Raw genomic sequence first — 23269 nt, 5'->3', positions numbered from 1 at the left:
AGTACTTAATTTTTTCTTTCCTAAAATTACAAAGCACTTTGTGAAAGTCACAATATTAAGACCTCCACCAAGTGAAACATATTCAGGGCCCCCGCATTCTGATGTGATGAGACACATATATACAAATACACACTTTCTCTGGTCTGTTATAGGCATATGAATATATATATTTTTTGAGACGGAGTCTCGCACTGTCGCCCAGGCTGGAGTGCAGTGGCAGGATCTCTGCTCACTGCAAGCTCCGCCTCCCAGGTTCACGCCATTCTCCTACCTCAGCCTCCTGAGTAGCTGGGACCACAGGCACCCGCCACCACATCCGACTAATTTTTTGTATTTTTAGTAGAGACGGAGTTTCACCATGTTAGCCAGGATGGTCTTGATCTCCTGACCTCGTGATCTGCCCGCCTTAGCCTCCCAAAGTGCTGGGATTACAGGCATGAGCCACCGTGCCTGGCCTCAATATTCATTTTATAGCTGGCTTTCTATATAAATTATATCTTCAAAAATCAATAATTATAGCTTATGAGGTTTTTTTTTGCAAGTGGCATGACTTTACACAATGGTTTTCCATTACAGGACAAAAAATGAGGATGAGAATTTCCATCTTATATATCTGTTTATTCATTAATAGAAAACATCCATGCAAAAAAATTACACATAGTAAATGTGAATTTGTACTCATGCTTAGGAGTTGAAGATTTTCTTCTAATGACACGAGTTGATACTGAATACAGCTAATAAATTTAACTTGTGATCTTTAGTTCAAAAGTAAATGTTAATTCTCAAGTTTTTCAAATGTCATCAAAAATCACCTAAATTAAATTGAAATTTGTTTAGATTTAGAATTTTTAAATGCTGAGTTATGAAATGTGAGTTTTGTGCTTTGGAGAGGCTGAAGATGCCTCTGCATTAATCTTTATTAAGAATTCTGTCTTCCACTCTGGGAAACCTTCTATTTTCAAAAGTAAATTATCTCTCTCAAAAATATTAGTTTATAAAAAGAAACATCAATAGTTCTGTCTGTTATATGTCACAATCTCCAGTTGCATCAGATCTTGGGTGCAGGGGATATCACTCTAAGCCAGTTTTTCTCCAAGGGAAGACCCCCTACCAGTAGCATTAGCATTGTCTGGGAATTTGTTGAATCAGGAGCTCTGATTTTGTTTTAATAAGCAATCTGTTCTTAAAAGCCCTCCAGGTGATTTTGTTGCTAAAATTTGACACTTGTGTTCAAACTTAATTATTTATGTTAGCTGGGAAGTTTTTTAAAGAGTGGGTTTCTACATCCTTGGCGAGACCTATTGAAGCAGAATTTCAGGAAACCAAAGCCGGGGAATATGCATCTTAAACTCGACCCATGTAATTCTAATGCAGCTGATGAGGGATCTTCATTGAGAACCCAGTTAGAACAGTGGTTCTTTGCTGCACATGGAAACCTTTAATCCGGAAAATTCTAAGAATCCTGATGCCCAAGCCATGCTGCACACATATTAAGTCAAATTCTGGAGGTGAGACTCAGACATCATTATTATTTTAAACTCCACAAGTGTTTTAATGTTTAGCCAAGTTTAAGAACCAATACTTTTAGAAAGCATTAGGAAAGAATGCCAGTATAGCATGGTGGAAAGCGTAAGGCTTGAGAACCAGCCCTGTGACCTAAGGCAAGTTGCTAAATCTCTCTAAATACCAATTTTTCAGCTGTATAGTGAGGGAATTACTTCAAGATTAAACAACCAGTGCAAAGCACCTGGCAGTTTCCCTTCCTTTAGGTGTATTTGTATTGATTTTACTTTGGTTTATATGCCAGAGAACTTCCTTCCATACTTGGGGAAAAAAAAATTTTCTCTAATATTTTACTATAATACTTTCCATACTTACCTTTGCTGGAGAATAACAGTGACTTGATGACTGGGTGTGGTGGTTCACGCCTGTCATTCCAGCACTTTGGGAGACCAAGGCGGGAGGATCGCTGGAACCCAGAAGTTGGAGACCAGCCTTGGCAACACAGTGAGACCCTGTCTCTACAAAAAATAAAAAAATTAGGAGGGCATAGTGGTGTGTGTCTGTAGTCCCAGCTACTCAGAGGTTGAGGTTGGTGGATTGCTTGAACCTGGGAGGTTGAGACTGCAGTGAGCCGTGATCTCACCACTGCACTCTAGCCTGGGCTCCAGAGTGACACCCTGTCTCAAAAAAATATAAAGTAAATAGAAAATAGGAGAGAGAGAAATGACTTGAGGCTGTTTGACTTGGTTAGCACTTATGCTATGAAAACAGTTTTTACTTTCCTCTCGTTTTATCTACCTGCTTAGCCCATGTTGCCCAAAAATAAGAAAGACGTTTTCTCATATAGGTATCCCTGATAGCACTTTTAGCACCAGTTGAGTCTCCACTGGTCTAAAAAAGTAGATTTAGTTTTACCAGGAAAGATCTGCCATCTGGTGGTTAAATTTGGTAATGATAGGCTGTGCAGCCACTGTACATCTGGAGAAAAATGGTATTCCACACAGCTCAATCTAGTGCAAAAACTAGTCACTGTACAGCTGCCCATAGAGGGCAGATGCTGCAACAACCTTCTAAGGAACCTTGCGTTGGTATTCTAACAAAGTAAAATTTATTTTTTTCTAAAACAGTTTCATTTTTGTCACCCAGACTAGAGTGTAGTGGTGTGATCTCGGCTCACTGCAACCCCAGCCTCCTGGGTTCAAGCGATTCTCAAGCCTTAGCCTCCCGAGTAGCTGGGATCACAGGCATGTGCCATCATGCTCAGCTAATTTTTCGTATTTTTAGTAGAGATGGGGTTTTGCCATGTTGGCCAGGCTAGTCTCAAACTCCTGCCCTCAAGTGATCTGCCCACATTGGCCTCCCAAAATGCTGGGATTACAGGTGTGAGCCACTGTGCCCAGCCAAAGTAGAATTTTCTAACCAAATGATTCAGTAATTGTTTTGTTACTAATAACTGTTTAGAAAGTATCATCTGGCATCTTTTCTGAGCAACTGAGTTTACCTATATATATTACAAAATCACCATGTTTGTGGATCCAATTAGTTTACTTGGTATGTGAAATGGTCAAGGAAGTCATGGTGTCTAGAACTCCCATATTTCTAGCATGTGCCTCTTCATTAAGATTTTTTTTAAAAAATTACTATGTAACGGAGATTCATTTGAATTCCATCTGAGAAATACTTACTTGCACTAAATTATACCTGTTCAATTAGATAATTTCATCTTTCAGCAAATGGCTTAGAAGACAATAAGCTGGTAGTAATTTTATTTTTTTATTGCAACAATTTAAAGCTAATCACACATACAAAAACAGGTAACTATGAGGTGATGGACATGCTAGTTAATCGTGGTCATTTCTCTCTCTCTATATATATATATACCTCAAAATGTATGTGTATATATATATATCTCAAAATGTATATATATATATATCTCAAATATGTGTATATATATACACACACACCTCAAAATGTATATATATCTCTCTCAAAATGTCATGTTCTACACCTCAAAGATACACAATTTTCATTGGTCATGCTTCAATAAAGCTGGGGCAGAGGGAGGCAATCCTGAGTAAAACAGTTTCCCTCATTGCTAACAGCTGCACACTCAAATGAATCTCTTTTCTCCTTAGAGTGGGCAGCTGGATCCACGTCTACCCTAATGGATCCCTGTTTATTGGATCAGTAACAGAAAAAGACAGTGGTGTCTACTTGTGTGTGGCAAGAAACAAAATGGGGGATGATCTGATACTGATGCATGTTAGCCTAAGACTGAAACCTGCCAAAATTGACCACAAGCAGTATTTTAGAAAGCAAGTGCTCCATGGGAAAGATTTCCAAGTAGATTGCAAAGCTTCCGGCTCCCCAGTGCCAGAGATATCTTGGAGTTTGCCTGATGGAACCATGATCAACAATGCAATGCAAGCCGATGACAGTGGCCACAGGACTAGGAGATATACCCTTTTCAACAATGGAACTTTATACTTCAACAAAGTTGGGGTAGCGGAGGAAGGAGATTATACTTGCTATGCCCAGAACACCCTAGGGAAAGATGAAATGAAGGTCCACTTAACAGTTATAACAGCTGCTCCCCGGATAAGGCAGAGTAACAAAACCAACAAGAGAATCAAAGCTGGAGACACAGCTGTCCTTGACTGTGAGGTCACTGGGGATCCCAAACCAAAAATATTTTGGTTGCTGCCTTCCAATGACATGATTTCCTTCTCCATTGATAGGTACACATTTCATGCCAATGGGTCTTTGACCATCAACAAAGTGAAACTGCTCGATTCTGGAGAGTACGTATGTGTAGCCCGAAATCCCAGTGGGGATGACACCAAAATGTACAAACTGGATGTGGTCTCTAAACCTCCATTAATCAATGGTCTGTATACAAACAGAACTGTTATTAAAGCCACAGCTGTGAGACATTCCAAAAAACACTTTGACTGCAGAGCTGAAGGGACACCATCTCCTGAAGTCATGTGGATCATGCCAGACAATATTTTCCTCACAGCCCCATACTATGGAAGCAGAATCACAGTCCATAAAAATGGAACCTTGGAAATTAGGAATGTGAGGCTTTCAGATTCAGCCGACTTTATCTGTGTGGCCCGAAATGAAGGTGGAGAGAGCGTGTTGGTAGTACAGTTAGAAGTACTGGAAATGCTGAGAAGACCGACATTTAGAAATCCATTTAATGAAAAAATAGTTGCCCAGCTGGGAAAGTCCACAGCATTGAATTGCTCTGTTGATGGTAACCCACCACCTGAAATAATCTGGATTTTACCAAATGGCACACGATTTTCCAATGGACCACAAAGTTATCAGTATCTGATAGCAAGCAATGGTTCTTTTATCATTTCTAAAACAACTCGGGAGGATGCAGGAAAATATCGCTGTGCAGCTAGGAATAAAGTTGGCTATATTGAGAAATTAGTCATATTAGAAATTGGCCAGAAGCCAGTTATTCTTACCTATGCACCAGGGACAGTAAAAGGCATCAGTGGAGAATCTCTATCACTGCATTGTGTGTCTGATGGAATCCCTAAGCCAAATATCAAATGGACTATGCCAAGTGGTTATGTAGTAGACAGGCCTCAAATTAATGGGAAATACATATTGCATGACAATGGCACCTTAGTCATTAAAGAAGCAACAGCTTATGACAGAGGAAACTATATCTGTAAGGCTCAAAATAGTGTTGGTCATACACTGATTACTGTTCCAGTAATGATTGTAGCCTACCCTCCCCGAATTACAAATCGTCCACCCAGGAGTATTGTCACCAGGACAGGGGCAGCCTTTCAGCTCCACTGTGTGGCCTTGGGAGTTCCCAAGCCAGAAATCACATGGGAGATGCCTGACCACTCCCTTCTCTCAACGGCAAGTAAAGAGAGGACACATGGAAGTGAGCAGCTTCACTTACAAGGTACCCTAGTCATTCAGAATCCCCAAACCTCCGATTCTGGGATATACAAATGCACAGCAAAGAACCCACTTGGTAGTGATTATGCAGCAACGTATATTCAAGTAATCTGACATGAAATAATAAAGTCAACAACATCTGGGCAGAATTTATTTTTTGGAAGAAGTTTAATCAAAGGCAGCCATAGGCATGTAAATGAATTTGAATACATTTACAGTATTAAATTTACAATGAACATGCAAAATAAAAGGACTTGTAAATAAATGCATTATGAACTGATGATACTGATTTATTTAATGGATCTCAAAACAAACTTTTAACTTAAGGCACTTTTATTTTGCCAACAAATAACAATAAACAAACATTGAAACGGTTCACTATAAAATAACAAATGGCTAATGTACCTGAATTTTTCAGTAAAAAAATGAACTTCTAATACCAGTTGCCTAGTGTCCACCTCCTATCAATGTTACAAGCATGGCACTCAGAACAGAGACAATGGAAAATATTAAATCTGCAATCTTTATGATGTAAATTTACCATCCTGATGTATAAATATTTTGTGGTTTATAAATTTTTTTGCTAAAACCTACAGAAAATAAGCACTGAACTGTCTTATGATTCACCATTTGTTCACACTGAAAATTTTCATTGATGGGGAATACAAAAATGTTTTAATAACTGCATTTAAAAATAAATGCAGGCTCACTTTTCCACATGTAAAAAGCAATGTAATACCTGCACATCATAAAATGTGAAAAGGGGGTTATTTTTGTCCAAATACACCCATTAAAAAGGTTTTAAAAATACAATGAAACTTCTTTATAACTTTAAAATCTAGCTCAGGCACCCCTGGTTTGGAGCTGTTTATAAGGAAATTTTTCTGAGCAGGAATCGTTGCTCTATAAGCATTTCATTTCATTAATTCTTTATGGGATGGGAAAATGCTTGGGAGGGTCTAGGTCTATTATATATAATGAAGTTTCACTGTATTTAAAATCTGATCAATCCTACACAAAATGTGTTTTTGTAATTCACTGAATTTATATTACATGCTTAATTCAACCTGAATTAATTTGGGGAATATTAAATGATTGATCTTATCTAAATCTAGGGGTGGGGTTTTCCAGTGTAATTTCTCCAGCATCTATTCAAACATTCACCTAGTACTTACTTAAGAATTATAGGAGCTTTATAAATGGGAAAAAAATGCCATAGGTCTTAGATATCTCAGTGCACAAAACCGAGAATTACTAATAAGTTAGCCCCTGCCAATCATTTGAGACATGTGGAATAGCGCCCTTGGGTTTTCATCACACTGACTTTCAGTTAGCCCCATCTCAGCCTAAAATGTGACCTGGTTGCAACTTATGTCTGATGTTAGTACCCTGTGGCTGGAAGTGGTCAAAGCTACGCATTGATCTCCTCTACTTCCAGGCCAAGAAGGGTAAATGCAATGACTGACAAATGCAACCCTATTAAGAAAAAGCCTACAGTGTAAACAAGAGAGTCTATGGGCTTCTTATATCCAAGAACTGTGATTGATTGATAGGTATAGCTGACTCCATTTGATTTCAAGGTCTTGTCTTTAAGGGGAGCTGGGGTCTCGCTCCATCTTATTCTAAGGTAATTTCCTCTGGTAAGGTAAAGTACCAGGTTCTGCCACAGGGCTTTACCTTGTGACCATCTTAATGCAAAAGAATGCATTTGCAAGAAAAGAAAAAAAAAAAAAAAAAAAAGAAACCTCTCAAGATACAGAATTAACAGGGAGAAAATCTGAAGACTAAAGTAATTCTAGTTATTTTCTTTATAATGCGCAGGGGTAAAACAGCATTCCTCAACTTTCAATAGAATCGTGGAATTAATTAGAGTCGTAGCATAACTTCCTCACCTAAAAAAAGAAAAAAGATATGCCCCACAGCTTTCATGTGCAAAATGATTAATAATTTAACTCACCTCTGCAAAGTATAAAGTGCATACAAATGCTATGCAATTATAACACTCATTCTTAAAACAGTATTACTGTTGTTTGCAATGCTGAGCTACAAAATATATGGTTCAAACTGAACTGGCAAAGAAATTTGGAAAGAAATAATGATGGAACATGACTCACTCACTAGGCACAACATTCACATTTCGGTTGATTTGCCAATGCAGTCATTATATAGATATATTACTTTGAAGAAAACAACTTCATTAGCTTATCTAAGTATGTTTCTTGAGAGGAAAAAATCTGATATACAAAACCAGCAAAAATGTGTACAGATAGATGATACATCTTCTGAAAGCAGATAGACTATTAATTTAGTGAAAAGAATAGTTTTTAATGTTTTGGCAAAGTCTTTTCCAGCCCAGAGTAAACACAAAATGGGCAGGCTGGAGTGAAATATTTTCACAGTGTACAAAGCAGTTCACATGGATGTTGCCACAGCAAAGTAAGCTGACATGTATTTGAGGTCATTTGCATGAGTCAAACTTTGCAATGAGTAACTCACCCAGGAAGATATAAATTATTTATAGATAATGATTTGCAAAAGAAAATGTCTACTAAAGTTGTACTAGCTACATTTTAAAAAAAGTAGATTTACATGGTCTGCTCATTATAGACAAGTCTATTCACAGTATGCTTGACTATATTATATGTAAAATCATATGGCAAAAGAAAATGAAATAACAGAGAACATGGGAAAATATCCCCCACATATGTTTTAAAATGCCCTGCAATTTTCACATTCAAAATTTTATGCATCTAAATCTAAAAAAATATTATATAGAATACTCTTAAGTTACACAAACTGATAATTTACTGGTTTCTTTTTTACTCTAATAGGAGCAAATTACCACATACTTGAACAAAGTTAAAATAGTTACTATTTCTTTATAATAAATTTGATGTATAATTTACTTGTGCTTTTTGCACCAATTTATAAATACAGTATATGCAATACACAACCAAGACTGACACTGACAGTAATAATTAAATTCAAAAGAGCAAATACTTACCATACAAAATAAACAGCAAATACACCTTTTATGAAAACCAGAGCCTTCTGGACTTTGGGGCCAGATTCTCTGGAAACCATGTCAAGTGTGAGCACTGGAATCTCAAGCCAGCTACTGGATTTTTTTTTCCCCTTAAGGTGGCATAAGGTTCAGGAGAACCAAAACTGGCAATAAATAGTTGGACGATTCCACTGCAGTTCTTTCAGGCCTTTAGGATTTACATGTTGTACCTTCACAATGACTCTCATCAATGATCTTGCCTCAAAACAAATTTGAGTACAGCTACTTCTAACAGGTTTCCGCACATCTTAGGGCGGCTCTCAAAGAAACCTTGGTTTAGGTTCTTGGTTTAAGAAGTTTAAGTACGAAGCAACAATCTGTTTCAGCACCTTTTGACCACAACAAAAGCAAAGAAGAGTCCTACATAAATAAGAACAAAGTTTATAAAGTGCTTATGAGATTACAAACATTTCAAATTAGAGCGATGCAAATAAATGTCCGTTTCACCATCACAGGTGAATGCAGAATAAACAGGCCATGTTTCTGTCAAGATCTGACATGCCTTTCAAATCAGTAGTTTGGTCCAGCACAGTTTGGAAAATAAAATTAAAAAAAAAAAAACAACGTCATCATTAATGAATGAAATACATAAATACCTTAGATCCATCATAATCCATTCTTTCTAGAAATGTGAGATTCAAAAAAAGCACCAATTTCAAAAGGTCTGCTAGCACACTCTTCCGGGAGTAGGCCTGCCTGCATGATTCACATTTGTAAACCTACTTTAAAGGTGAATTCAACAAAATCAAACCACAACTTCTCCTTGGCTTTTTGTTTAAACACCTTTTTTTTTTTTTGTGAGATGTAGCATAAAATATAGTAAAATGTCAAAGAAATGAAAAAAAGGGACATTTTTAAGATGACTAATGCATTAAATTTGATTTTCTGTTTTTCAGTGCAAACATAAAACGTCATGTCTTCTCCTCTTGCAGATTCAGAAGTGTGAAGGATGCCCATACGGAGTCACTCCTTGCTGTGGCTGGTTGCCTAAGGAGAAAAATAAATTGAACCAAAATTACAGACACAAAACTATTGCACAGATGGATGCTACCCTCTTGTCACTGCTCTCAGTACCAGCTGCAGGTACAGGGAAACAGAATGGCCGGAGAGTACTATCCTTGCCCTGAAAAACCCTTGTGGTGGGATTCAAGTACCACCCTGCAGAGGGGACACCTTTATTCACAGTCCACACTTGCCAATGCAAGGCCGCAGGATTTAGGTTACTGGCCCATCCAGAGTGTCTCCCTCTGAACTAAACTACTTGGTATTAACTTTCAAAAGGAATACAGTAAAAGTTTCATAAAACATTGAAAGTTCTCAAAATGCTTATGAAAGTCAGCAATTCTACTTTAACACATAATTGGTAAGAAAAAATTAGATTGGAACTGGGCAATTTTCTGCAAATAGCCATAAGGTATGTACAACAGAACTGTGCAAGAGTATATGCAGGTGCAAGACTGTCCGTGTGTGATGACTCAAGCGTGTGCCTATGTAGACATGCATGCCTGCACATGCATACAGAAACAAGGAATGGTCAGTAGATACCAAAAAATGACATGGGCTTAGAAACAGCTACTGCTTGTTTAACTCTGGAGTATTCAAATCCGGAGGCCCCATTCACATGGGCCATGCTATCAAAGGAGCCCTCTGGAGTTGTGTGGTGAGCAGCTCAGTTTAGTCACCACCCTTCAACAATGGAGTGTGGCATAACTGCTTATCAGGCAGCTGAGTATATACTGTGGTTAGGAGGTGGGCTCTGGAAGGAATGCTTCTGAGCTCAAGCCTCAGCTCTATTAGCTGAAAAACCTTGGGCAAATTAGTCAATGTTCCCGTTCTTCAGTTGCTTCCTCATCTGTAATGTGGGAACAGTAATAATACATAATCTCACAGGGTGGGTTAAAAATAAAGTAAATCAATACATGGAAAGTCCTAGTGCCTGGGTCCTAGAGAGTCCTCCATAAATGATGGCTTTAACAAAAAGCTGAGCTCTGGTAGACAGGAACTAAGAGTAGATATCTTTCCCCAAACAGATGCCACTTTATAAAAATCATAGTTACCTATTTCTAAACACTAGAAGAAAAAATCTGCCTTAAGATTGTATTTTCTATAAGAATAAGGATTCTGGAATTAGTGAAACATAATGAGATTTTAATTACAAATGTGTTTTAATAGACCAGATCTATTAAACAGTAAACAGTAGCTAGAAATGAAGATTTACTTGATTTAACTGACATTAAATGAGGCCATAAGAGGAAAATATTTTTAAAGAAGAAAAAAAATTTTGGGTATCCACTGGTAGAGACAGACACTAAGGTGTAAGAGGGATATCCCTCTGTCAGAAAATCAACTCACACAGCAGCCAGGCAGAAAATTAAGACTAAAACCAAGCTGCCCCTCAGTAATTACATGACCTGTTTCCTTATGTCTCAGCAGGCTACCAGACCTGCACCACTGCCTTCACCACAAACTAGTCTTCCCTCTGGTACCTCACAAGTACATAATCCAAGACCAAGAAGAAACTGCTAGTCTCACTCATTGCACGGATGGAAAAACTACACAATCCAGATAATGGCAGCCAAGCTGACACCAAAATTTACGTCTTCTGACTTCCAGGCTAATATTCTTTGCATCACAGGGAGCTTGCTCCCATTTCTAAAAGGATTTTCCGTCCTATGACACCCGCCCAGGGGTGATTCAATTCATGGGAGCACACTGCTGGCATTGAGATGAGGTATGATGAAATGGGCTATTGGTAAATTCTCTAGAAAGGCAGCACATTAAACAAAACAAAACAAAACAAAAACACCACACCAGCACTACAGGCAAGATTACTAGGGAGAAAACACTGTCTCGATCATGCTGTGTATGATGTTATAGGTTTTGATTTATGAGTCACTATCAGAAGGGTAGGATGGTGCAGTGGTAAGAACATTCACAGTCTGACAGTTTAGTGCTGGCCTCCCTGTATCTGAAGATCTTCGGGAGGCCAGCTAACTTTATTCATCTGTATAATTAAGGGCATTAGCTGATGCTCCCTGAACTCTCCAGCTTTAAACAAAGGACACCTTTGATTCCATAGGAGTCCCCCCAATGAGAAGAAATATTTCTAGATTCTGGTGGAAGCAAAAAGAAAGTATCTTCACTGAATTTGAGAAAAATTGGGGCTTTCCCAGGAAAGGAAGCATTCAAGCCAAAACCAAACGAAGACAGAATGAAAATACCTTGGGCTAAACCAAATAACATGAACATTGTACTGAGGAAGATGGTACCATCTTGGGAGAGCCGCCACTTTACGTTTCGCTGGCTTATTTTTAATTTTCCGGGAGCTGTCTGTTCCATGACACACAGGGGTACTTACTGGAAAGCTGCTTCTGGAGCTGCCGCACCAAGGCGGCCGTCTGCTGCTGCTGCTGGGTCTGCTGCAAGCCTTGCCTGGGAAACTGTAATGGCGACAGGAGAAAGGACAGAAATCATTCCATGGTGCCAATCACAGACAAGAACAGAGACTAACTCGCAGGGCCAGTCTGTAAGGTACTTCTCAACACTTCACGAAAAAAGGGCTATGACAACTGTGTGTGGATTAATTTTCATCTACACCTTGTTGTGCATCTGGTGAACATCTGAAGTACCCCATCTATTCAGGAACCCAAGCTCCAGGTTATTAGTTGGCATTTATTTGAAGAGCCCCAATGAAGAACTCCACACTACAGACGTAGCTCAGCAGCTCAAAGATCCTGGTCATCTCACCCTTCACCAGCTAGCTCATGAGTATCATGATATTAATACTGGCAAAATGAAAGCTCTCTGGTTGGAAGATTTGTTCAAGGACTACAGGTTGTGCCTTGCACAAATGGGAGAAAATAATCTGGTGAGGCAGGGTGGTGCCCTAGGACTAGGGCTCATTTGGGACTATACCCTCCCCATATGATGGAGGATGAAGGTTCGCTAATCCCACCCTCAGAGCCCGGGCCTGGGCAGGATGAGTGAGTGAGGCACTAACTTTAAGAAAGTGCTAATTCCCAGGGCCATGCAAATACAGGCTCTGTAGGAAGAATCAGATGAGAGGCACAATATAGGGGACCACATGCCCTGATTCTATCTATTAAGTTGATGCAAGAAATTGTGGTTATTCCAAAGAGGAAAAAAAGCAGCATCTACCAGAAGCAAAATTACTTTTGGTTAGAATCACTGGTAGTGCCAATTTACTTTTTTATCTTGATCTTCAAATTTCAGACTATCGTTTTCTCCTTTTCTTTCTTCCCCTTCTCTCCTCCTCCAACCCTCTTCTCTCCTCCTGGTCTGTCACTGTCATAAACGAGGCGTTCTGACACAGGCACATACACCAGCACGGTGCTGGCTGTTTCCCATGTGCCCACTCTCCGTGTGCTCACCAGGCTGCCTGTGTGGAGGGCATCAACAAGGCTGGCTCCTCTGCCCTCCGACTTCTAGGTGGGGAGGAGGTGCTCCCAGGAGACTGGAGCATAGGAGCACAGTGAGGCTGGGAGGGAGCAGAGTGAAGTTTTGTTTTTGCCAATTTTCCTCCATGAGTCTCTGCTGGCTGGCCACGCCCCACACCGGGAAGGTTGCAGCTCCTGTCAGGTAGCCTCCCTACCTCTCTCCCCTTCTTGTCCCGCTGGGATTAGGGGCAGTCAGTGAGTGGGCCATCACCTCCAGCTGGTTTTCCATACCTTTGTAATTTGTCTTTTGAAAAAGACTCTTCAATTACCCAACGCCAGTGCAACATCTATTTCCTCCTCAGAGCTTGTCAAGAATAGCCCAGGATTGTAAGTACAGTTGCTAGATTTAGCAAATAAAAACGCAGCACGTCCAGTTAAATGTGATTTTCAAATAAACAATAATGTTTTAGTTCCAAGCATGTCCCAAATATTGCACATGACAAATATTGCATTTAGTACAAGTATATCCCATGCAGTATTTGGGATATACACTAAAGTGTTATTCATTGTTTACCTGAAACTCAAATTTAACTGGGAGCCGTGTATTTTATGTGGCAATCCTGTCTTATCCTCTATTTAGAGGGCATTACCAAGCTGATACTTTCAAAACTGAATATTTGGCATGACAGCTGGTTCAACTTTCTCTCTCCCACTAGACAGTGAGTGACTGAAAGACAAGGGCTTGGCATACCTACTGATGTATCTGTAATATCCGGTACTGCCAGGCACACAGCAGGTGCTCAGTAGCAACTGATGGAATGACTAATTCTAAGAGCCTTCAATTCCCACAACTTTCCTAATAACAAGAAAGATCCACAAAACTAATGAACTATTCCCTCCACCAATGTTACTATTTTCCCCAATACAAATTAGAGAAGCAGCAGCTTGCCATTTTTTTCCATTGCCCAAATCAAGAGTGAAAAATAAAAATCAATCTTTCATTTATATGGAAATGTTAGTATTCTTTTCTATTCAATAGTTTTTATGCTTACTTGGGGAAACTATTGTACTATGTGCCAGGTACTGTTCCAGACATTCTATGTGTCTATTAGCATATTTAATCCTGACTTAGCTGTAACTGTCCTCAATCTCTTATCCAAAGTCCTAAGACAGATATGTGCTTTGGAATCTGAACATATGCAGTTTACTAAGAAACACTCCTAATATGCAGACCAGGCAAAATGTAGGACAGCACTCCATAATCAAGCATATTACATTTCTGTAGCAAGCACATGAATAATTATATCAGGTAGGATAAATGAAAAGAGCCTCATGTCTATTCAGGTCAGCTTTTGCCACCAATGAGTTCATGTCAAATTTTGCTGTTCACTTCTGACTGGTTAAGACTGCTGCCCCCAGAAAATGTCCCATATCTATGACATCTATCATCTTGCAGACTTATTTCACTGTGGTGAACACATTTAAAATCTACTTTAGCAATTCTGGAATATACATTATTAACTATAGTTACCTTGCTATGCAATAGATCAACAAAACTTATTCCTCCTGTCTAAATGAAACTTTGGACCCTTTGACCAACCACTACATTCCCCTCAAGCCTATCCATGATTGAAAATACCAGCTTCCAAATATCAACTTATTCAGAAATAATTACAGATTCTAAAAGGCTGGCTATAAAGATGTCTAAGCTGATTGAACAGCATATTGGGGTACATGGTGTACAAATAGTCAACATTTATTCACTCAACAAACACATAGCTGCCTTCTTTATGTTCATTTAAAGCCTGCTTCAAATAGAGTATTTCACAGAATAAAACACTGTAGTGGTTGCCTCAGATACTATATTTTGCAGAGCCTAAGCAGTAACTAGGTATACCCTAGGAAGCTTGTGTACACATGTATGCGTGTGTGTGTTGGGGAGTTCAGGGTGGTGTGAGGGTGGCTTAAGAGGTAGTACATAGTCAGAGGGCCTCAAATTGTGATCCAGGGATTCCTGGGAGAGGTCCCCAAGACTCTGTCAGGTTATCTGCAAGGTCAAAACCATTTTCAAAATAAATACTAAGACATTATCTGCTTTTTTCACTTATTTTCTCATGCACGTACATTACAGCTTTCCAGAGCCTACATAACATGTGCTATTACAACAAATCAAATGTTCTCTATTAAACCAGACACTGAAGAAATTTTCAAAAATGTAAACCAGGCCAGGCACAGTGAGTCACACCTGTAATCCCAGCACTCCTGAGAGGCCAAGGCGAGCAGACAGCTTGAGCCTGGGAGTTCAAGACCAGCCTGGGCAACATGGCAAATCGCCATCTCTACAAAAAATTACTAAAATTAGCCAGGCATGGTGGTGCATGCCTGTAGTTCAGCTATTTAGGAGGCTGATGTGGGAGGATCACTTGAGCCCATGAGGTCAAGGCTGCAGTGAGCCGTGATCGTACCACTGCATTCCAGTCAGGGTAACAAAGTAAGACCCTGTCTCAAAAAAAAAAAAAAAGTAAAACCATGTCATTCTCATATAACTTTATTTTGAAATATATGCCTATTTTTCATAAAAGCATGTTACTTCCAGGAACATAAGTTTATCTTTAGGTACTAAACATAACAATATTTAGTATTAACGAATATTTGATTTCTAACATGGTAAATATTGATACACAAAAGCTCTTTGGGTCTGCAATAATCTGTGAACATGAAAAGATTCTGAGGCCAAGAAATTTGACCAACTTCCTTAAACTGACCAGAAGTACATGATCTATATCTACAATCTTCTTACAGTGTTTTACCACATCTGCTTCCTCTCAAGGCCTCTGGCTACTAATTTTAACTTGCTTTCACCTGTACATGCACAGGCAATAGGCCCCAGATGCAATTTCTCTGGGCTCTGGAGCACCTACCACTAGGGGATGAGGGCTGCCTCCAACACCCTACAGAAGCCTCACTACTGAGCATTTCAATTCAAACTGAACCCCTCCTGTGAAGAACTGAACCCTGTATGTGGCTGAGGCAGCACAAAATCACTGGGGGAAATTTAAAGGATTATCCTCCCGGGACTCCTCTCTAGACTTCCTGAATTAGAATTTCTGTAGCTAATGTGCTAGAAATCTGAATTTTTAAAATGGCTCCCCCAAGTGGTTCATTCAGGTGCCTGGTGAGATTTTGGAATCATCACTGTGGTGGGAGTTGAATTTTTAATTTACCAAAACAGGTCAATAAATAGGTTCAGTAAGGTTTACTAGAGGTCCCCCAAATCATAATCTATGTATGTTTTGCCTTCCCTATTCAAATGTGATAAATGAAGTGGGAAAGATTTTTTGGCCCATATCCATACAGAAGATGATCTCTCCCCTCTGTGCCTTTGCAGATGTTCATCCCTTCTCCTGGAATACACTTCCTCCCCACTTCGTTCCACTCTACCCTTCCCATAAATCTACTCATCCTTCAAAGATCAGCTGAAGTTATCATCCATTCCCTCACGCATTTAAAGAGTGAATCACTGCTTTTGTATCCTTAGTACTGTGTAAATGCCTCTATTAGCAAACATATGGTTTAACATGATAATTGCTTCTCTCTCTAGGATTCTGGATTTTTACTTCTCAGAGGCAGAAGCCATGCCATGCTCCTGCTGTAACCACAAGACCGAATACCCAGCTTACTACTGTCAGGTATAACTAATCAACATGGTATAACCACTTCTCCAGGAAATACCATTGTTTGCTGAATTAAACACAGACACACACACACACACACAAACAAAAACAAAAATGTATTTACTGTAGTTCCCAGCTACTTGGAAGGCTGAGGTGGAAAGATCACTTGAGCCTAAGAGTCTGAGACTGCAGTGAGCCATGATCACATTGCTGCACCCCAGCCTGGCTGACAAGATTGAGCCTCTGTCTCTAAAATAAATTAAAATTAAAATTCTGATAATGTATTTTGATGTATTTTGACTGATCTCTAAATTCCTATTTTATTCAATAACATTTACTTCTTCTGCTCAATCACAGCATAGGCAAAAATGTGCTGCTAATTAGTAATTTCTATTTAAATAAACATCATTTAAATATTTTTTGTCTCAAAACTTGAGCTTGCCCCGTCAGCGAAAGCATATGCTGACAAAATCAGCTGCAGGACTGATTCAGTAATGGACCTACCGATGCTCAGATGGTCTGGACACCTTGCCTCCTGAATTGTGTTTTCCCTTTCTTATGGATAATGTGTGATTTTAACAAAGGTTTTTTTCATTGCTTTGACATCCAACAAATGAGTCATTCAACAAATATTTATCAAAATCCAGGCAATCTTCTGGGTTCCAAGGGCACCAGAGTAAAATACATCCCTTCCCTCATGACAGTTAAGAGGTTTTTGCTGTGACCACTTCATTTGTTACCAAAAGAACAAAGCAGCAAAGCAACATTTATTTTAAAACTGCACTACCAACTGACAGAGTCCACAGATTGCTCCGACGAATGAAGCATGGTCGTCCGTCCCTACAAGCGGCAGCGGAAGGAACAACAACGTATAGGGTTGTGCATGCACTCAGCCACATCTCCACTCTCACAGGGCGGCACACTCTCAGTCCACACTCTCAGACAGAGCTAGCAGCTGATGTGTTTCAGAATTTTTTGTGTGTTTATTTTCAAGGTAACTAGTAACTTGCATAGAGTTTTTTTGTTTTGTTTTGTTTTGTTTTTTTTGAGACAGAGTTTTGCTCAGTCGTCCAGGCTACAGTGCAGTGGCGCAATCTCGGCTCACTGCAAGCTCCGCCTCCCGGGGGTTCACGCCATTCTCCTGCCTCAGCCTCCCGGGTAGCTGGGACTACCAGCGCCCACCACCACACCCAGCTAATTTTTTGTATTTTTAATACAGACAGGTTTCACCGTGTTAGCCAGGATGGTCTCAATCTCCTGACCTCGTGATCCACCCGCCTCAGCCTCCCAAAGTGCTGGGATTACAGGCGTGAGCCATTGCATCCGGCAGAGTCATCTAATCTGTACACAGTTTAGTAAGAAAAAAGTACTATATCAAATATATTGGCTATCCAGTTACCAGAAATCTCCTGATATTTCTTCCCCAACCTCTTTCTATAAATATTACTTCTTCTTTTCCTTCCAAAAGAAAAAAAAAATTTCCAAATTCATGCAAAGGAAGGCAACGTAGCTCAATGTTCTCTGGACCTAATTTCTTCCACTTCAAAAGGAGAATCATATTATCTGTGCCTGCTACTTCCCAATTCCAGAGGCAGACTGAAAAAATATCTCAATTTCTCTGAATGGAACAAATGAATTTCTTGAGGAAGAGTCAAGGACAATTTCACAAGTGATCACTGACTAAAATTTAATGTAATTAAGTAACTACTGCTACCATTATGCATATTTTTAAAAGGCAAATATTCAATATAATATGAAACGGACACAAGGATCAGTCGATGTAAAAAGCCAACTATTTAAAGCTTTCTGTTAGCATATTTTTTTAAGTCACCAAACTAAGACAACCTGAGTTTAAGATGAAAGGAAATGATGCAGCGGGATGGTGTTAACATTATTTTCTTAACACTGGAAGTAGTTTTAAAGAATAGATCATGGTCTGTCAACATATTTAGTTAAGAATTAACTTAATCACAACAAGAAGCATTAAAATTATTTAATGATTTAATAAGCATTAAAAATATTTTTCTAGTCAAGAACTATAATTTAGGCCAAAATCAGACATGCCAAATATATTTTCCCAGCAAGGGTACCCATGTCTTTATTTCCAGATGTTTTTCCTTCACAGAATACAAGCAACTGAAGTAAGTAGATGGCAACACAGGCATTGATATTAAGTCCAGACCAGATTTAATTTGTAAACATAGGCTTTTCTTAGTCTTTCTTGCTCTTTTCACAGAAAAACTCTGTTTTCTGGTGACACGTTTTAAAGAAGCACTAATTTCTGCCCTGAGTCACTTTTTACAAGTTGTTAACTTTTTATAAGTTTTTAAAGTGATTTTTTACAGCCAAAACCAAGGGATGATCATTGTCCCACACATCCCAGCTGATGACGTCAACGAGCAAAGAGATGAACAAAATAGTCAAAAAGCAATGAATCCATTCTGCACATGTACCCCAGAACTTAAAGTATAAAAAAAAAAAATAGCTGGGCATGGTGGCAGGCACCTGTAATCCCAGCTACTCGGGATGCTGAGGCAGGAGAATCGCTTGAACCAGGGAGGTGGAGGTTGCAGTGAGCTGAGATCATACCATTGGACTCCAGCCTGGGTGACAGAGCAAGACTCCGTTTCAAAATATATATATATATATATTTTTATGATCTCCTAGAATGCATTAAAATAGAAGGGACTTGTGCAAAAGCTAAAAAAAAAAAACCTAGTTCTGTTCCTCTTACAACAGCAACAAAAGAACAAAAAAATATATTTTCATTAATTCTAAATAAAACTTGAATTCTAACTCTAAAAAAAATTAACATTCAATTTCTTCTTTTCAAAAAAAAAAAAAAAAAGCAATGAATCAAATCCTACTGCCTTCAACATCTGCCACATTCAGCCTCCTCTGTCAAGGCTTCCCAAACTTCTCTCACCTTCTGACCTGTTATTATTTCGGTTGAATTATGTTCCCTAAAAAAGACATGCTGGAGTCGTAACACCCAGTACCTCAGAATGTGACCTTATTTAGAAACAGGGTCTTTACAGTGGTAATCAAGTTGAAATTAGATAATTAGGATGGGACCTAAACCAATATGACTGGTGTCCTTATAAAAAGTGAAAACGCATAAGGACTGGTATCCTTATAAAAAAGTAGACACGTATATGCACAGGGAGAATGCCTGCGAAGGTGGAGGCAAAGCTCAGGGTGCTGCTTCCACGGGCCGAGCGATGCCAAAGAGTCCCAGCGAGCCACCAGAAGCTGGAGGAGAGGCATGGAACAGATTCTCTCTCACAGCCCTCAGAGGGAACCAACAACCCTGCTGACACCTTAATCTTGGATTTCTGGCCTCCAAAACAGACAGTACATTTCTGTTGTTGAAGACATCTAGTTTGCGTACTTTGTTAGGGAGTTCTAGCAAACTAATACAATGCCTCCAGCTCTTCTGTCAAAAATTCAGCAACCGTAAACTACTTTCCACAGGCAGTGCTGCCATTGAGCCACTTCCTATGATTCTAAGTCCTCTAGTGGCAGGAAGTGATGTTTCACTGGCACGCTCTATAACATCTGGCAGGGTGCTGGTCTCCACCACACACACGACTGCAATCACTTCTGCACTACCCTAAGAAAAAAGCATTTATTGAATTCAACTGTGAATGTCACCAGATAGCAGCAGGACAAGTCAGGGGATGGGGGGCAATGTGTTACCATTACCACTTTGATACAGCATGAATCAGAACCCCAAAACAGGAAGAGTTCACTTATCTTCAACAGCTACCTTACCACCCTCTTCTCTAGCAAAGAAAAAAACAAAGAATGAAGAGCTTTGGCTAGTACCAAGAACTGAATCTGCTGGAGATGTTTATAAAATATAAATAAATATATTTATAATACATACAATGCATCTTAGTGGAACTATTAAGAAAAAGAAAAATACCGAAAGATAAAAGGATATATAAAAATTTTCTTGCCAGGCATGGTGGCTCATGCCTATAATCCCAGCACTTTGGGAGGTCCAGGCAGGTGGATCACTTGAGGTCAGGAGTTCGAGACACCTGGCCAACATGGTGAAACCCCATCTCTACTAAAAATACAAAAATTAGCCTAGTGTGATGGTGCGTGCCTGTAATCCCAGCTTCTTGGGAGGCTGAGGCACAAGAACTGCTGGAACTCGGGAGGTGCAGGTTGCAGTGAGCCAAGATTGCGCCACTGCACTCCAGCCTGGGTGAGAGAGCAACACTGTCTCCAAACACAAAGAAACAAAACAAAAAAAAAAAACACAGTAAAGCACAGGAAGAAGCATGATTGGAAAACTAGTGACAAAGAAATTTGGGGAAGAGGTATGTGGCTGGACCTCTCTGAGTGGTTGAAAACTGTGAAGATATTTGTATTCCATGTGAGTGCTCGCCAATGGGTGACCTCAGCAGAGGAAGATTTTAATAATCAAGTGGATAGGATCACCCATTCTGTGGACACCACTCAGCCTCTTTCCCCAGCCACCACTGTCATTCCTCAATGGGCCCATGAACAAAGTGGCCATGGTGGCAGGGATGGAGGTTACGCACAGGCTCAGCAACGTGGACTTCCACTCATAAAGGATGACCTGGCTACGGCCACCACTGAGTGCCCAATTTGCCAACAGCAGAGACCAACACTGAGCCCACGATATGCCACCATTCCTCAGGGTGATCAGCCAGCTACATGGTGGCAGGTTGATTATATTGGACTTCTTCCACCATGGAAATGGCAGAGGTTTGTCCTCACTGGAAGACACTTACTCCGGATGTGGGTTTGCCTATCCTGAACACAACGCCTCTGCCAAGACTACCATCCGTGGACTCACAGAATGCCTTATCCACCATCATGGTATCCCACACAGCACTGCCTCTGACCAAGGCACTGACTTTACAGCTAAAGAAGTGCAGCGGTGGGCTCATGCTCATGGAATTCACTGGTCTTACCATGTTCCCCATCATCCTGAAGCAGCTGGATTGACAGAATGGTGAAATGGCCTTTTGAAGTTACAATTACAATGCCAATTAGGTGACAATACTTTGCAGGGCTGCGGCAAAGTTCTCCAGAAGGCCGTGTATGCTCTTAATCAGTATCCAATATATAGTACTGTTTCTCCCATAGCCAGGATTCACAAGTCCAGGAATCAAGGGGTAGAAGTGGAAGTGGCACCACTCACCATCACTCCTAGTGATCCACTAGCAAAATTTTTGCTTCCTGTTCCCACAACATTACGTTCTGCTGGCCTAGAGGTCTTAGTTCCAGAGGGAGGAACACTGCCACTAGGAATACAATGATTCTATTAAACTGGAAATTAAGATTGCCACCTGGACACTTTGGGCTCCTCCTACCTTTAAGCCAACAGGCTAAGAAGGGAGTTACAGTGTTGGCTGGGGTGACTGACCCGGACTATCAAGATGAAATCAGTCTACTATTCCACAATAGAGGTAAGGAAGAGTATTCATGGAATACACGAGATCCATTAGGGCGTCTCTTAGTGTTACTATGCCCTGTGATTAAGGTCAATGGGAAACTACAACAGCCCAAACCAGACAGGACTACAAATGATCCAGACCCCTCAGGAATGCTTTGGGTCACTCAACCAGGAAGAAAAACACGACCTGCTGAGGTGCGTGCTGAAGGTGAAGGGAATACAGAATGGGTAGCAGAAGAAGGTAGTCATCAATACCAGCTATGACCACGTGACAGTGGCAGAAAAGCGGACTGTAACTGTCATGAGTACTTCCTCCTTTTGTTAAAAACATGTTTGTGCAGGTATACACTTGTACTAATATCTTAATTTTATTTCCTTTTCCTTTATCATGTGACATAGGATTTACTGACTTCATATCAGGATTTAAGCATTGTTAACTTTATGTAATAGTATTTGGGTTGGGGATTGGTGCGTTTCCGGTTGCAGGAAGGATAGTTGTATTATGTTAGCTGTAATTACGACCTTACTATTGTCTTTATTTGAAGATTATGTCTGATCTCAGGAGGTGTGTATGGGCTCAAGTAGACAAGGGGTGGACTTGTGATGGTTAATACTGAGTGTCAACTTGATTAGATTGAAAGATGCAAAGTATTGATCCTCGGTGTGTCTGTGAGGGTGTTGCCAAAGGAGATTAACATTTGAGTCAGTGCGATGGGGAAGGCAGACGCACCCTTAATCTGGTGGGCACCATCTAATCAGCTGCCAGCGAATATAAAGCAGGCAGAAAAACATGAACAGGAGAGACTGGCCTAGCCTCCCAGCCTACATCTTTCTCCCGTGTTGGATGCTTCCTGCCCTCAAACACCGGACTCCCAAGTTCTTCAGTTTTGGAACTTGGACTGGCTCTCCTTGCTCCTCAGCCAGCAGACAGCCTATTGTGGGACCTTGTGGTCATGTGAGTTAATACTTAATAAACTCCCCTTTATATATACATATCTATTCCATTAGTTCTGTCCCTCTAGAGAACCCTAACTAATACAAATACCAACTGCTAAATGCAGAAACATAAGAGTAAGAAAAATCACCATTTTGTACCCATTACAAAGTAAGAACTAGTGTTTGGTAGTACAATAGGGCAACAGTGGTTTACAATAATTTACTATATGTCTCAAAATCACTAAAAGAGTAGAAGTGGAATACAAAGAAACACAAACAACACGAAATAACACAAAGAAATTAGAAATGCTTGAAGCGATTTTGGGTA

The 23269-nt window shown here is 39.9% G+C and overlaps 2 protein-coding genes across 36 annotated transcripts in view, besides 1 other annotated feature; one reads left to right on the top strand and one right to left on the bottom strand.

The window, feature by feature from the left end:
- The window catches only part of IGSF10 (immunoglobulin superfamily member 10), a 187494-nt gene extending 177690 nt beyond the window's left edge, over nucleotides 1-9804 (top strand). For 10 of the 15 annotated variants that reach the window (XM_011512709.3, NM_001385061.1, NM_001385060.1 and 7 more), the window contains one exon: nucleotides 3639-6033. In XM_011512709.3, coding sequence (XP_011511011.1) covers nucleotides 3639-5547 — 1909 coding nt within the window. In that variant the 3' untranslated portion in view covers nucleotides 5548-6033. Of the gene's footprint in view, nucleotides 1-1455; nucleotides 1662-3638; nucleotides 6034-9429 lie in introns of those variants that run through there. The other 5 variants (XM_047448014.1, XM_047448012.1, NM_001178146.3 and 2 more) reach the window with 4 other exon arrangements.
- MED12L (mediator complex subunit 12L) overlaps nucleotides 5583-23269 on the bottom strand; it is a 350990-nt gene continuing 333303 nt past the window's right edge. For all 21 annotated transcript variants that reach the window (XM_017005676.2, NM_001393769.1, XM_017005678.2 and 18 more), the window contains 2 exons: nucleotides 11856-11937; nucleotides 5583-9484 (listed from right to left, as the gene is read on the bottom strand). In XM_017005676.2, coding sequence (XP_016861165.1) covers nucleotides 9432-9484; nucleotides 11856-11937 — 135 coding nt within the window. In that variant the 3' untranslated portion in view covers nucleotides 5583-9431. The remainder of the gene's footprint in view (nucleotides 9485-11855; nucleotides 11938-23269) is intronic.
- Nucleotides 13041-13335: a silencer, noted in NCBI's record as "tiled region #9761; K562 Repressive non-DNase unmatched - State 3:PromF". NCBI's record gives its function as "represses a minimal TATA promoter and a strong SV40 promoter by Sharpr-MPRA in K562 cells {active_cell/tissue: K562}" and the evidence as "EXISTENCE:reporter gene assay evidence [ECO:0000049][PMID:27701403]".

The sequence above is a fragment of the Homo sapiens genome, chromosome 3 (genome assembly GCF_000001405.40).
Source record: "Homo sapiens chromosome 3, GRCh38.p14 Primary Assembly".
NCBI classification, from domain to species: Eukaryota; Metazoa; Chordata; class Mammalia; order Primates; family Hominidae; genus Homo; species Homo sapiens.
This window is presented reverse-complemented; position numbering and strand designations above follow the sequence as displayed.